Source organism: Homo sapiens, chromosome 1 (genome assembly GCF_000001405.40).
Source record: "Homo sapiens chromosome 1, GRCh38.p14 Primary Assembly".
Taxonomy (NCBI): Eukaryota; Metazoa; Chordata; class Mammalia; order Primates; family Hominidae; genus Homo; species Homo sapiens.
The window spans coordinates 230915512-230930352 of NC_000001.11; the positions used below are offsets into that span (position 1 = coordinate 230915512).

General features: G+C 39.8%; 1 protein-coding gene across 16 annotated transcripts in view; it reads right to left on the reverse strand.

Moving 5' to 3' along the window:
- TTC13 (tetratricopeptide repeat domain 13) overlaps positions 1 to 14841 on the reverse strand; it is a 72619-nt gene that overhangs the window by 9269 nt on the left and 48509 nt on the right. For 9 of the 16 annotated variants that reach the window (NM_001376509.1, XM_006711814.3, NM_001376511.1 and 6 more), the window contains 7 exons: positions 13426 to 13582; positions 10006 to 10136; positions 9330 to 9462; positions 8330 to 8422; positions 5910 to 5993; positions 4999 to 5083; positions 682 to 791 (listed from right to left, as the gene is read on the reverse strand). In NM_001376509.1, the coding sequence (NP_001363438.1) occupies positions 682 to 791; positions 4999 to 5083; positions 5910 to 5993; positions 8330 to 8422; positions 9330 to 9462; positions 10006 to 10136; positions 13426 to 13582 (793 nt within the window). Of the gene's footprint in view, positions 1 to 681; positions 792 to 4998; positions 5084 to 5909; positions 5994 to 8329; positions 8423 to 9329; positions 9463 to 10005; positions 10137 to 12544; positions 12661 to 13425; positions 13583 to 14841 lie in introns of those variants that run through there. The other 7 variants (NM_001376514.1, NM_001122835.3, XM_047430306.1 and 4 more) reach the window with 2 other exon arrangements.

Here is a 14841-nt window from a genome sequence, read left to right on the forward strand (position 1 = left end):
ATACCCTAAGTGGTCAATAACAAAAAGATCAGTCAGAGAAATTCTACATCTATACAATGGAATATTATGCAGTTACTAAAAATACTTTTAAGAATATGACTGGGGAAATGATTGTGATAATGTAATGGTAAGGGTAAATAGTAGAACAGTCTAACCTCAGTTTTTAAAGAAAATAACTTGATTTTTATTTTGTTAATTTTGCTTATCTGTATATTCTAAATTTTCTACAATAAGATTATACTACTCATTAATTATTAAAGCTGTTTTCTCTCTCTCTCTCTCTCTCTATATATATATAGATTGGCTTTTATACATATATATTTAAATCTACAATGGACTTCAATCCGCCAACTGCTCATCTTTTTTCATTTTATTAGTAAAAGCCTCCCTCGCCCCCCCAAGGAACTTCAAGAACCCAGAAGAATGTCTCCCACAAACTACATCATACATAGTATCTAGAAAGTCCTTAGATTTAGACAGTCAGAAAATGTATCTGCTGGTGTAATACTTTAGATGTCACATTTTTTTAAATAACTGGTTATAACTGCTCACTGGACCTTGATACTTTTCATTTCAGGATGGAGCAAAAGTTCAACACCACAAAACTCTATAGTGACAATAAGCACAGGCACCCTTCCTGCCTCGTCTCTAGTTTACACCCACATTAAGAAGCGCACATACTTGTCTCCTGTAATCGTGATTGTGAATCCATCATATTCCTTCCCTTGGTCTTTAAGGCTGGGAACTTTTGTGTTCACGGTGAACCCATCCTTCGTTTTAGTATTAAACTGCTTTCAGGGAAAAAGAAAATTCACGTTACTAGTGTTTCATTCACTGTAAACCCCAACTGCAACTCTGTAGTGCTGGCTCTACCTTACATGTTTTTAAAAAGGGCCAAGGAGGTCATCTGATACAAGAGATGGTGGCCTGGTGGCCAAGGACATCTCTGCCTGTCTTCAGGCCCCAACAGAGCCCAGGTTACGCTCCCCACAGCTCCTACCAGAGGCCAGCAGAGAACCTCAGCACCAAAAGCTCACAGGTTCTCTTCGTCAACAAGGGGCACTGCTCACTTCTAAGAGCTCCCTTTGAATGTTTTCTCATGTCCATCTTAGTAGGCAGCAACCTTGAATCATGGCAGAATAGTTGTACCTAACATCCCGTAACTCAAAAATGCAACTTATGCTCATACTAGTGCTCAAAGCAGAGACTGATTTTTCTGAAGAGTACCCAGGATTATATCCACTAACTGGAGAACTTCATTCACACCCACACCCACACCCACCCAACTCTGTGAGCCACAGATAAGTCGGTTAAGTTAAAAGAATTACTCGGAGTTAAGAATGGCTTTCGGAGTGATAAATGTATGAACACAGTTTCAGACGTTAGCTTTCTGTTTAAAACATTTGGGACAAACCTGCAATGGCAATAAATAGGTTTCAGAAAATGACCCCCAAATTTAGTTAACTTAATATTGCCAATTTTTTTTTTTAATTGATGGACTGGAAGTTAAGAGAAGCAACAGTAAAGTACAAGAGGCTGCTGCTTCATGAGGGGAGAGCTTGTCTAGAAACAGAAAGATGCACCAGGTGTCACCAGCAGCCCAGAAGCCAGAGGATGAGTGGCACAGGTCATAAGGCCCACAGCAGGCACTGAGCAGGCAAGCATCTTTCACGCCAAAAAAAACGACTTTCAGGAGAAGAAATGCGTTAACACACTATGTGCCAATTCTCATCTAATCCTCACAACATACTGATAGCACTAGGTATGGTCTCAATCTTACAGATGAGAAACGAACTAGGTGAGGCAAAGTCTGGCTGAGTCCCAGCCAGCAGGGAAGCCGCAGAGTGGGAATGTGGGCCCAAGGTCTTGGTGAATTCCAGTCCGCGTTACTTGCTAATAAACCGCCTCTAGGGGGCGCTGACATACACGTTAACTTGGTTTTTCATCAACAGTACCATTGTGCCTTTCAGTGGAAGTTGACCTGGTACATTCCACTAAGCACTTTAAACACTCAAATATCTTGTTGTATATTCTGCTGTGTGTGCCTTGCAAAGTACCAATATATCCGTAATCCTGGGTAAAGGCTAGATGTATAATGCTGAAATGGAATGTCATCCCACCGCAGAGAACAAACATCTTACATCTTTCAGACAACAGTTGGTGATTTCACACCGAGAGGCACACTGAGGCTGGCGATGCCGCGTCTCAGGCTGCATGCTAAGTGACTACAGTCTTGTAGCCCACTCTGTTTTTCTTCTTAGACAAAGACATATAAAATATTAAAATCTCCCTAAACTGACGTTGTATTCTGCCTAATACCACAGGACATCTAAATGCCTAACTAGAATACCCACAGGAAGGCAGCTGAAGAGCCCTCACACACCAGTTTCCTTTCTATATGGTACATCTCAGGGCCTGTGGTGAAGCCATTCTGCCCCCTGGGGGGCGCTGGGGAAATTTATGGGAGACTGATTATTACAGGGATTGGACAGTTGGGAGCCAAGATTACTATATGTCCCACAGTACAGGGGATTGTCACACATAATGTATGATTTTCTAATGTCCCACTGGATTTTCATGTAGATGAAGAACATGTTTATCATTTAATCAATATGTGGGCCTGGAACCAGACTCTGTTTTGCACTTAAACGCTAACTATTTATTATATAGTTTTCATACATACTGAATTTGCCAGGAATGCAAATAGCATACACATTGAGTAAGGAGTCTACTATATATAGCTTGGAGCTTTACTAAGCTTGGTTTACCATTTCAGAAAACCACATCGCCAATGACAATGTAGCTCACCAAATAACACACAGATATGGGGCTACACTTATAACTGTCACATTCACCATGATTTTACATGCAGGTGTGAAGCACTGGCTACTGCTTTCCGGCTTCTAGAGAAGGCCTGCCCCAATTTCTGCATACTGAGATACACTGTGTGGACACTGTGTGGACTGAGATACTGAGATGACTTTGCGTGGACATTTTTTAGGAGGTGAGACATATTCTCTGTGAAGTTCATCTTAGTGCAATAAAGGAGTCAGTAAAGGGGGCATCTGAACATGTTTACTGAGTCAACGCAGTGGGTTTGAGAAGGTTGAGGGGCACTGTGTTAGTGCATCAGACCCTCACAATAAACTCCACGAGGTAGGTCTGGCCACAATATTTGGTCTTCAGCAGACCAAAAACCTGGAATAACTGTAAAATAGGCTCATCCACACCCACCCAGGCAGATGTGGGGCCTGGGTCAGATGCTCAGCTCTGTTCATGACATGCTACTTCCTTGCTATTCCTTAGAAATAGATACACTTTGCTTATTCATACAAATTTCCTAAATTTTACATGAATCAATCTCATCTACTATAGCTGCAAGGAAAACATTTACTGAAGTTGCACATTAGTGTTTAAACCACTAATTGGAAAAGCAATTCTAACTGCTGTTGGCATGTTTTGGGGCAGTTTTACTCCTAGATGGAGGAAAGGTTCACACAGTTATAATTCTTAATGGATTATACTTTAATCAAATAATTTCTGTCCCTTTTAGTGTCCTTCCCATTGAATTCAAATGTTTCCATTATTGATATTGCCACACATACTTTTCTTCTCATTAGCATTTGCCTGGTATACCTGGATCATACTATCATACTTTTGTATCTAGCTTTTTGTTTGTTTGTTTGTTTGTTTTTAGGAGATGGGGTCTCACTCATCACCCAGTGTAGGCAAGAGAGCAAGACCCTGTCTCAAAAAAAAAAAAAGAACAGAAATTTATTTTGGAGGCTGGGAAGTCTGAGATCAAGGTGCCAGCGTCTGATGTGAGCCTTCTGACTGCTGCCTCACATGACGGAAGCTGGAAGGGCAAGAGAGGCCACTCCCCAAAGCCCTTTTTATAACGGCATGAATCCATTCATGAGGGCTCTGCCATTAAACACTTCCTGTTAGGCTCCACCTCCCAACATATGTGCACTGAGGATTCCATTTCCAACACATTCATTTTGAGGGGAACACATTCAAACGATGGCATTTACTTCTCTAGTAATTAAAGAGTATAGGTTATTTTGCCTTTCTTTAAAGGGTAATGAGTTTTGACAGGTAGTCAAATCACTAGCAGATCCACTTAATCCTTTAGACTTAGTTTTATTCTTTGTTAGGGCAGTCTATTTAGAAATTGTTCTTAGTCCTAGGTTGTGGGCCTTACTGTAAAGTATGGTCTTACTTTTAAACTGTGTCCTTTCTGGGGTCTTAACTAAACGCCCAAGGTGTTCACAGGATCCATCCACATTGGCAAGGCCGAAACTCCAATGTCTCTCAGCACATACACCTCTGATACCTCTGCTCAGCTTTCGTTCCCACAGTAGCCACTCTCTGCTGAGCCTCTCATGGTCTTTTATTGCATGTTCATGACCAAGGTCTTAGTCAAGGATGAAAAGGAGTGCTCACATTAACCCCTGAGCACTCCCCAGCCTACATGGCCTCCTTCTCTCCTATACTCTGCTCTGCAAATTCCAGCCACTTTGGCAGAACCAAACTCCACTCTCTACCTCCTTAGCTTAGCAAGACCACTGTACTCTGCTTGGGCTCCACATTACCGTGCAGTGGTCTAATAAATACCACAGTAGAAAGCTGGGGTGACAGTGGGATTCACATTATTGTAATTAGCCAGTGCCTGAAAATAACTAACTTTTGTCCAGTTTTATAACTGCAATCATGTAGAAGGGCAGCTGAGTACCAGTTACTCAGCTGTGGCCAGAAGCAGAATTCAATTATATGTATTTTTAAGTTTTCTTTTTTCTATATTAACTGCTTCCTCACAAGTTGTTTTTTCTGTTTGAGTCTGATGCCTGTAGGTTCTTTTATTTTGGTTATTATTCAGAATGTGTTCATACGAGTGATTTCAAATAGCATTTAATAATTCTGAGTTCTTTTTAAAAAAGTGCTGTTGGTTTTCTTTTCCTCTAAAAACATGGACTGCCATTCTGATGCTAAAGTTACCTTCATAATCGGAAGAAGGTCTTCTACTTTGTGTACCTTTTCCAGGGCTTCCCGAACTTCCAGCAATCCTTTAGGATTATTAGCTCTTAAAGAGAGACAGAGAGAGATGGCAACTGAGATTAATGCAGAATTGTAATAATTAATCATGCAATTATCTTTAATTTAAATAAATTGACCTCAATTTTGAGTAGCTAAACATTCAAAATGGTAGGCCACAAATAAACCTTCCAAATAACGGGATAGTTCAATTCTAATGAGTTTTGGACTGCAGATGAAAATTAAGGAAACAGCAGCAGATGAGAATTAAGGAAACATCTAGAAGGCAAAACAGGAAAAAGCAGAATGGATCAAAAGCCAGTGTTTGTGTGAACATGTATGGTTATGAGTTTGGTTCTTAAACTCTGATTTTCCTATTCCAGCTCTAAAATTATATGTGGATGTTTTGTGTTGTTTTTTTCCTTTCTAAAGCTGCTCAAATGAAAGTATTCTGCTAGGTTTTTCCACCGATTTTATATTTACTTGGTGATATTTAAGCATTCAGATTTTTTTTCTCCTAGTGTTCTGCTCATTGTTTTGTCTATCCCATCCTGCCTTTCAAGTGAAGGAGAGTAAGTATTAAAGCTGAAATCCCTAAAAGATAAATCCAAAGAAACATCCTGCTTTATAGAAGAAAGAGACTAGAAAAGTCACAATAGTGCACATAAAGTTAAAAACACTTCAGTTGAGGTCTGTGGATTTTGTATTAAAAAGAAAGTGATTATGAAAGCCTTTACGATTCTAAACACTGTGTAAAAATTTGATAGACCTTGTTTAGCCCGTCAACAGGCTTAGTTCTCAAGTTTCAAAAATATAACAAATATAAAACACATGAAATCAACTCATTACTAAGAAGGAGAAAATTAAAGGCTTACCCATGATAAACAAGAATTCTGTCTTTAATAAAATGAAGTATTTTCTCAAAATATTCTAGGTATCTCATGTTGATCACCTGACCCCTATAAGGCAAAAATAATAAAATTAAGAATATTTTTATAGAAGAATATGCTCAAGCCAACATCTAATTTCAAAGTTAATTTAAAAAAATAAGAAACTATGAGAATAATGTAGAAAAAAAAAGTCTGGGAAATTCGCTTGTTCATAGTCAATGAGTGGTGAAGCAAAGCACCGTCTTAGCAAGACTGCCTGCCAGCTCACAGGGCCTATTCTGGCATCAAACTCAGTGCCAGATCAGCCACAATGGGAAGACAAATCCCCCAGCACTAAAGTGAGGTCCAGACTTTCATATCAGCGTCCTCTGACGGATCCCATCACTTGTGGGCAGTGTGCCGTCTCCCCTCCCTCAGTTCTCCCAACAGCATTATCCAATACCCTGTCTTGCTCTCTAGCTCACTAGCAGTCTCCTTTCCTCTACCCACTCGGAATACTCTTTTCCTCACATTTCTATCCCTTCTGATCTTTTCCTTTTAAACTCACTCCCAGAACTCCATGTTCAGCCAACATGCTGAGTCACATGACACAGCCGACTGCTCCCAGGACATCGCTCCCTGGGTTCCCACCAGGCATCTCAAACCTCAAAGGTTACTGTCAAGTAAGAATTCCCTCCTGCAACCCACACTTCTCCCAGCCTCCCCACTAAACATGTCCACCTACTTTTCGTTCTGGTGCTCTCTGGCCTAATGGGACAACCACGTACCTGAGGGAAGGTGGCCTTCCTCTAGCTCCATGCCCTTCCCACTGCAGCCCACTGCCAGTGCTCCTGATTCTATCTTCTAAGAGTCTAGCTCTTCCTCTCCAACTCACTACCACACAGCTTTTGAGGCCTTTGCACTTGTCCACCTGAACAACTACACAATTTTCCAACCTCCTCCCTTACCTCCGAGGTTCCTGCCTCCTCTCCAATCTATTTTGCCATCTTCTCCCAATGTGCAAATCTGTTCCTGTTACTTCTCTGCTTATAATCCCTGAATGGCTCACCATTGTCTTCAGGGGAAAAAATTCCTTAGCTTGGACTATAAAATGATTTATGTTCTGACTTCTGCCTATCTTTCTAGCCTTAATTCCTGATACTCCCTTAATTGCAAACTCACCACCAGGCGTAATGAGTTAGTCACAGTTTCCTGACCATACCTAACTCATCCATGGGTCCAAGTTAATCACCCCACCTCTCTCTGTTTTCCATTTTTCCAAATAGCCCTGTAGCACCAGAAGGCTTTATCAGGCACCCCTTCTCCAGGTTCCCATGGCATCCTGTGCATGTGATCAGCTCACTCTTAACACACTGCATAGTAGTTGTCTGCTGGTCTGTCTGCTGTGAGCTTTCAGCAGGTGGGGCTGTATCTCCCTTCTGTATCCCCAACACACAGCACAGCACAGCACACTGGCTGATCTACGGTAGCCTTCGATTAAAGTTAGTTGCTTGAGTCTACCTATCTATGCCACAAATTATTCCATGAGAAATAGGAATATACAAGTCACAAGGTGAAAAGAAATTTGTTTTCTAGAAATTAAAAAAATAAATATACATACAAATTATATTTCCATTAAAACCCAAACTTAAAGGTGTATAGAAAAATATTTTCTTAATTCAGCTTCCTGGAACTAGAAGCATTTTAGAGGTGACACAACTACCATATCTATACATTTTATCTAAAATTAAATTCACTAAAAGATGGGCTGATAATATAGGTCCCCAAGAAACTGATATCCTTTAATATTTGTTCACCATTTATTTAGAAGGCAGCTAGGCACATAAAGAAAGAGTGAAGAAGTGAGCATTTCACCCATGTCCCCAACTAGCAGAGCCTCTGGACAAAACAGAAGTTTTCCAGCCAACCTGACTTGCCCTCCCCAGATGGCAGCTTAGTTACCAGATAGTGTTATTTATCTAAGCCCTTTGTGTGTTGGGGTGGAATGGGGAGCCGCCCACCGTGAGAGACTCCACCACGAGAGACTTGTCAAATAATTTATTTGAGCCATGTACTATCAAAAGAATATTATGGTTACTGTAATGTTCTCCATCTAATAATTTTCTATATTTTAAGACTCCTTAAAGACTGACGCCCTAGGAAAACATCTGCAATCTACCCTTCGGTTGTGCTCTACACCAGACAGAAGGGCCTGGGGAAGGAGTATGGCATGCGCTATGTTTCTTTCTGCAGCTGGGCTAGAGGAAAGGAATGCAGGCAGGACTCCACAGGTGCAGAGTCAATCAGTATGTTCCCTGGTCAAAAAGTCACCAGGAAAGGAGCAATGGGTCACTCCTGGTCTCCATGGCCTGTGTCTTGAGAATAAACTCCTAGGAAAAGAAGAAAGATGCACAAAAGGTTCGTACCTGATTAAATTAATGTGGTTGTTAAAACCTCTGCTAAGACTTCGTGCTGGCATTTGATCTAACCACAGCACGGGCTGGTCTGGGTCAGCAATCCTATAAAACAGAGACCTTTATAAAACCAGAAGTGTTCAGAAGCATTCCAAATAAAACATGTAGAAGTGTTTGCAAAGGTGGGGATAAAGCAACAGCTAGTCCATCATATCTAAAAACGTGATGTCCATACCTACAAATTCCAAACAGATGTTCCAGCTGGACCAGGCGAAAAGCCAGGTAAAGGTAAAGGTTTAGGAGCAGAGGACAGTTTTTGTCACGCAAATGAATATCAAAGGTTACTCTAAACTAGCTAGTTGCCAGGCACACCATTATCTGTAAAGGGACTGGTCCAGCGAAGTTCATTCAGAGGTACCACAGGTAATGGATCTGTTCTTTCAAAGAGACTGTTTCTAAAATGCTTCATGTAAATAGGTGATTGAAAATGTGACAACAATCAATTCGTTTTTTTTGTTTTTTGAGATGGAGTCTCGCTGTGTCGCCCAGGCTGGAGTGCAGTGGCGCGATCTCGGCTCACTGCAAGCTCCGCCTCCTGGGTTCACGCCATTCTCCTGCCTCAGCCTCCGGAGTAGCTGCGACTACAGGCGCGCACCACCACGCCCAGCTAATTTTTTGTATTTTTAGCAGAGACGGGGTTTCACCGTGTTAGCCAGAATGGTCTCGATCTCCTGACTTGGTGATCCGCCCGCCTCGGCCTCCCAAAGTGCTGGGATTACAGGCGTGAGCCACTGCGCCCAGCCAATCAATTCCTATTTTGAAAATATTAGTTAAGTGTATGTCAAATAATAAAGATGCCAGCAATTTCTAACAAACTTTAGAGAGGAAAACCTAACTTGGAAGGCCTGGTGTTAGCAAGCAAAACAGGGTTCATAGCCTGTTAGCTAAAACAGACTGACGTTATTTGACAATGATAAGACTTATAGTTTATTTTCACTGAGATGTTAGTTACCTTCTCCATTTAACTGCAATGTCAAACATGTCTCTCCACTGCATCAACCGTGTCTTCCCATTCATTCGAACTTTCGAGTTGGTCCATGTACGCTGCACGGCTTGCATGACCTCCAATGCGGCCAAACCCATAGCTACGAGAAAGGAATATCGAGAAGAGTTAGTACACTTTAGAGGGACTGAGTTCCACCTACTTTACAGAGTCTCAGTGATAACTCAAGAGTTAACACATAAAGGGTCAGAAGTATTGGTGATATAACAAGACCCAAGGCACGTTTCAGTCATGATGGTCCTACTAAAATTAAAACCCATCAGAGTTAACTGAAGACAACTCAAGTTGTCTGCTCCCAACTCTGCCTCCTACTGAAACAAGTGGAGGTTTGCATTCTTCCTCACTCCTATAGTAAGGAAATAGCTCCCTGGATCAGCTGTCTGATTTTGAGTAAGGACTTAAGACCTATATTCTAGTTTATACTACAGCAATAGCAAAAAAGCCAAGGATGGAAGCAGTCTTCTTTCAGAATTCAGTTTGAATGATTCTACACATTTCTATTCTGATCACATGGAGAATTTGAATAAGCACAATAAATACTAATTTATTAAAATGCACAACATGGCTTAACCACCCTTCCTCTTATGCCAGGAATATTTTCATTTTCAGGTAGTTTCCAGAATACCTCTGTGTATTCTCTTGTTTGGCAGGAAACCAGGTGTTTCATATTGCATCAGGGATCCCAAACGATCAGCCACACAAATCAGCTCCTGTACTTCAGGCTTATAACTCTCAAAATTCTGATGTAACACATCTCTGGAAGAAACATCATGTACATGATAAGGACTTTTACAACAGACATTTGGTAATCCAATTCCACCTGAGAAGCAGTCACTTCCTCCACGGGAAAACTAATGAAGCAGTCTACGACCACATAATCCTTACTTCAGTCCTTTGCACCCAACCATACCTCAGCTTAAAAGGGAATCTCTATGATGGCATGTGCATAATTGCCATCACATGCTGGTTAGTAACAGTGAAAACTATGATAACTAGTATGCAATTCAGAAGACACCTCTTTCCATTATTTGCTTTGTAAACTTCTCCAGAATACATTCCTGAATGGACTGCCTTTTTCAACAAGCAACCAAACCTCTGCCCTTTGTCCACTCCTCAACCCTGCCCAAGTTGTATTAGAACAAGTATACTTGGAATGATACATTGAAATACTACTGTTTAGCTGCCAACCTGCTTGATGCTTTTATAACAAAGACTGAAACTCTAAATTACAGGTTGTTCTGGGGATCTCCAAGACCATCCTTACTCAGGCTCAGAAATTGGCTGAAAGGGCTCAGTGGACTTAGCACATAATGATACTCACAATAGTGAGTATCATTTTTTATTTTGTGTCCTTTACAAAACAAAACCGGCAGAGGGAAGAGGCACATTGGGAGAAGTCTGGAGGAAACCAGTCACAAGCTTCCAAGGGTCCTCTCCCAAGGAAGTCATATATGACACATTAAATTCTCCCAGCGATTAGTTGCGAACACGTGTAAAATGCTGCCAACCAGGAAAGCTCATTAAAGACTCAGTGGCCAGGGTTACAGACAACTTATGCCTGGCAAGTTCCCAAATTCCAGATACCCAGAAGGAAAGCAAGTGTTGAATAGAAATCACACTGTTTGAACACACAGTTTAGGCACAGGGAACCTCTCCTATTAGTTTTGGGAGTGGTAGGAATCCCCTCGAAATCCAAGTTCCCAGATACCAACCAAGGGTCACTCTTGCAAGCAGTCCTTTCTAAGGACAGCAGTCATAGACCTGCTACTATGTTAACTCTTTTGTGCATCGAAATATTTCTCAAAAAAGGAGTAGTTCGAGAACATGCATAATCTCCATGAGCAATCAATTTTCTTTTTATTATTTTTGCTCATTTAATAGTTGAGACACATAGAAAACACGAAGTCAAATTACCCAGTTTAAGAACTAGAGCAATTCATGCAGTTGTATCTACTTGTATGCTGCTTTCCTATCCCATCCTCCCATCTCTTGAAATGTGTGCTCCTGACTCACGTACCTTTTTAAAAACTAGGTTTGTTACATACATGTATATATACAATATACTCTACAGTTTGGCTTATGAGCTTTGGGAGAAAAAAATATGTGAGAGCACAGCTTACTGACTTGCTGCTTTTATTCAACATTACATTTTACAATTAATCCACATTGTTGCCTCGGTCATTTGTTTATACTGCTGTATAATATCCCATTGTGTGACTGTATCACATTTATCCATTCTTCTGTTGATGGCATTTGGGTTGATTTCCAGTGTTAGCTGTGAACAAATTCTGCTGGCAGACCTGTATAAATCTCTCCTGGTAGACATGTGCACAAGTACAAAGTTCTCTGAATAGACACAGGAACAGAATCTTATATCAAGTATGAGAATATTCAGCTTTACTAGATAATGAAAAACTGCTTTCCAAAGTGGTTGTAGCAACTTATACTCTAACCAGGAGTATAAAAGTTCTCCATAATCTCCCTTATGACCAATATTACTATTATCAGACTTCGTAACATTTGCTCATCTAGTGGCTGAAAAAAATCTCATGAGGCCTTAATTTATGAACTAAAGTATCTCTTCATGTTTGTCATTCATGTTTTCCCTGTGGTAAAATTACTTGTTCATGTCTTTTGCACACTTTTCTATTGGTTGTCTCTTATTTTTTAATTTGTAGTGATACTTCATAAATTTGGACAGTAATTCTTGGTCAGTTATTAAATTTCCAAGTATCTTTATCCAATTTGGGCTTATTTTTCTTTCCTTATGGTGTCATTTGTTGAACGGAAGTTCTTAGGTTCAAGGTAGTCCAATTTATCAACCTTTTTGTTTCAGATCTATGCTTTGTGCTTCTTATGAAATCCTTGTCTACCCCAAAGTCATAAACATCTTCATTTATATTTCCTCCTAAAGTTTAAAATATTTTGCCATTCATACTTCAGATTTTCATCCATTTGGAATTAGATTACTATGCCATCACAAATATCAATTTTATTTTATCCATAAAATAACTTAATTGGCCCACTCCCACATCTTAACCAGTCCCACTCTGATCTCTAACACACCTTTCCCATTTATCTAAGTTATCTATTCTCTTCCTTAGTCCACTTGTCTATCCCTGCAGCAATACCATTCTGTTCATTATTATATTAAGTTTTGCTACCTGGTAAGATGAGAAGCTTCCCCTTCAAGCCTGAGCATCCTCTTCTTTGGGAGTATCTTGATTACTCTTGGTCCTTTGTTCTTCAATACATTTGCTTAACAAGTGCCTCAAAAAAACTTGGGATTTTGAATGGCATTTTATTAAATATATAATTAATTTGCAGATAAATGGCCTACTAATGTTACTGAACTTCCAATCCATGAACATAGTATTTCTCACCATTTATTTGTTTTATCTTAGTAACTTTCAATTAAGTTTTGTGATCTCCATACAGATTTTATACAGATCTTGTAAGATTTACTTCTAAGTATTTGTTACTACTATAAATGATATTTTTGTTGCTTATATATAGAAATGTAACTGATTATTGTATATTGATTATAAACAATGAGCTTGCTAAACTCTCATCATTTCCTATAATTTGTAGATCTTCTAGGTTTCCTTTGTAGAAAACTATGTGATCTGCAAACAATGACAGCTTTCTATTTTCCTTTCTAATCCATATCACTGATTTCTTTTTCTTCTCTCTGTGCACTGTCTAGGACTTGTAGTTCAGTATTACAGAGAAGCACTGATTCTGGGCTTTTTGCTTTGACTCCCAATGGTAATGTTAATGTATCTACCATTTCATAAGTTAAAATGATGTTTGCTATAGGTGTTTTTTGTTTTGTTTTGTTTTTAGAGATGGGGTCTTTGCTGTGTTGCTGTAGTGCGATGGATGGATATTCACAGGCACAAGGATAGTATGCTTGATTGAACTCCTGGCCCCAGGCAATTCTACCTCACCCTCCCAAGTAGCAGGGAGTAGCGTGCCACCATGCCCAGCTTATAGCTCAGTTTTGAGAAAGGAAAAAAAAATCATCTTCATTTAAAGCACTTACTTTATGTGGGGTTGCAACCCTGGCTGCTCTTCGTAGTCTTCTATGAGGAAAGGCAAATTTTTAGCCCAGTGGTCCTTAAAGCTTCCAGGCAGATCCACATCAATGTTATATTCCGTAAGGGGGGTATCAAGGTGTGCATGAAGATATCGAGAATACTCTGCAGAAAGGAAATGAGATCTGACACATCCAAATACTGCTAAAGAAACTTTCTTATGGCTAGCTGCCATACAAATACTTTGTAACAAGCTGTTCTTCAATTATAAGAATTCTAAAGAGTTTCTAAATTTTAGTAAGTCACTATTAGTATATGATAGAGGTAACCTGCCACTGACTTGAGATAACAAGGTCAAATATAAGTCAGTCAGTCTGGGTCTACTTTGGCTACATTTTTTTTTTTTGAGACGGAGTCTTGCTCCAGCCCAGGCTGGAGTGCGGTGGTGCAATCTTGGCTCACTGCAAGCTCTGCCTCCTGGGTTCAAGCCATTCTCCTGCCTCGGCCTCCCGAGTAGCTGGGACTACAGGCACCCGCCACCATGCCCAGCTTATTTTTTGTATTTTTAGTAGAGACAGGGTTTCACCGTGTTAGCCAGGATGGTCTCGATCTCCTGACCTTGTGATCCGCCTGCCTCAGCCTCCCAAAGTGCTGGGATTACAGGCATGAGCCACCGCGCCTGGCCTAGTTTGGCTAAATTTTAATCACCTTTCCAGGAAAACCACTAAAAATCTCATTGTTTTCAATTCCAGAGCTTAAGAATCCAAGTTCAGTCTCAGATAGAGCCTGGTACTCTGTCAACTGGTATATAGATTGATTGGGTATATAATTTCACCAACCGACTAATGGACTGCTGCTTATCTCTATGAAAGCAGTGTAGGAAAAAACCCAAAGTACAGAATACCTGCCCCTTCTGCCTATAATTCACAAGCGCAAGCTCCACTGAACCAGAAAAAAGGGAATTGTAATTCAGGTAGAAGAAAGATGTTCTCTAATAGGTAGCCCCTAGCCACCTGGCTATTGGATACTTAATGAGGCTAGGGTGATTGAAACTGAATTTTAAACTTTATTTAATTTGAATTAATTTAAACTTACAAACTGATACTTGATTCAATCATCAGAAAACTTCAGTGCATGTGGAACAACTTACACATATGAACCTACTTTCTTAACTATAAATATTATAAATTCTAAATTCAGATCAAGTATTTCCAATGAAAATTTAACATCCAAATTGAGATGTACTATAGCATAAACTATACATCAGATTTCAAAGACTTAGTACAACAAATAATGTAAAGTATCTAATGAATAGCAGCTTCATATTAATTATGTTATATATTGAATGGATATTTTGGGTATACTGAATTTAAAATTATACATTATTAAAATTAATTCCACTTCTTTGATTTTCACTTTTTTAA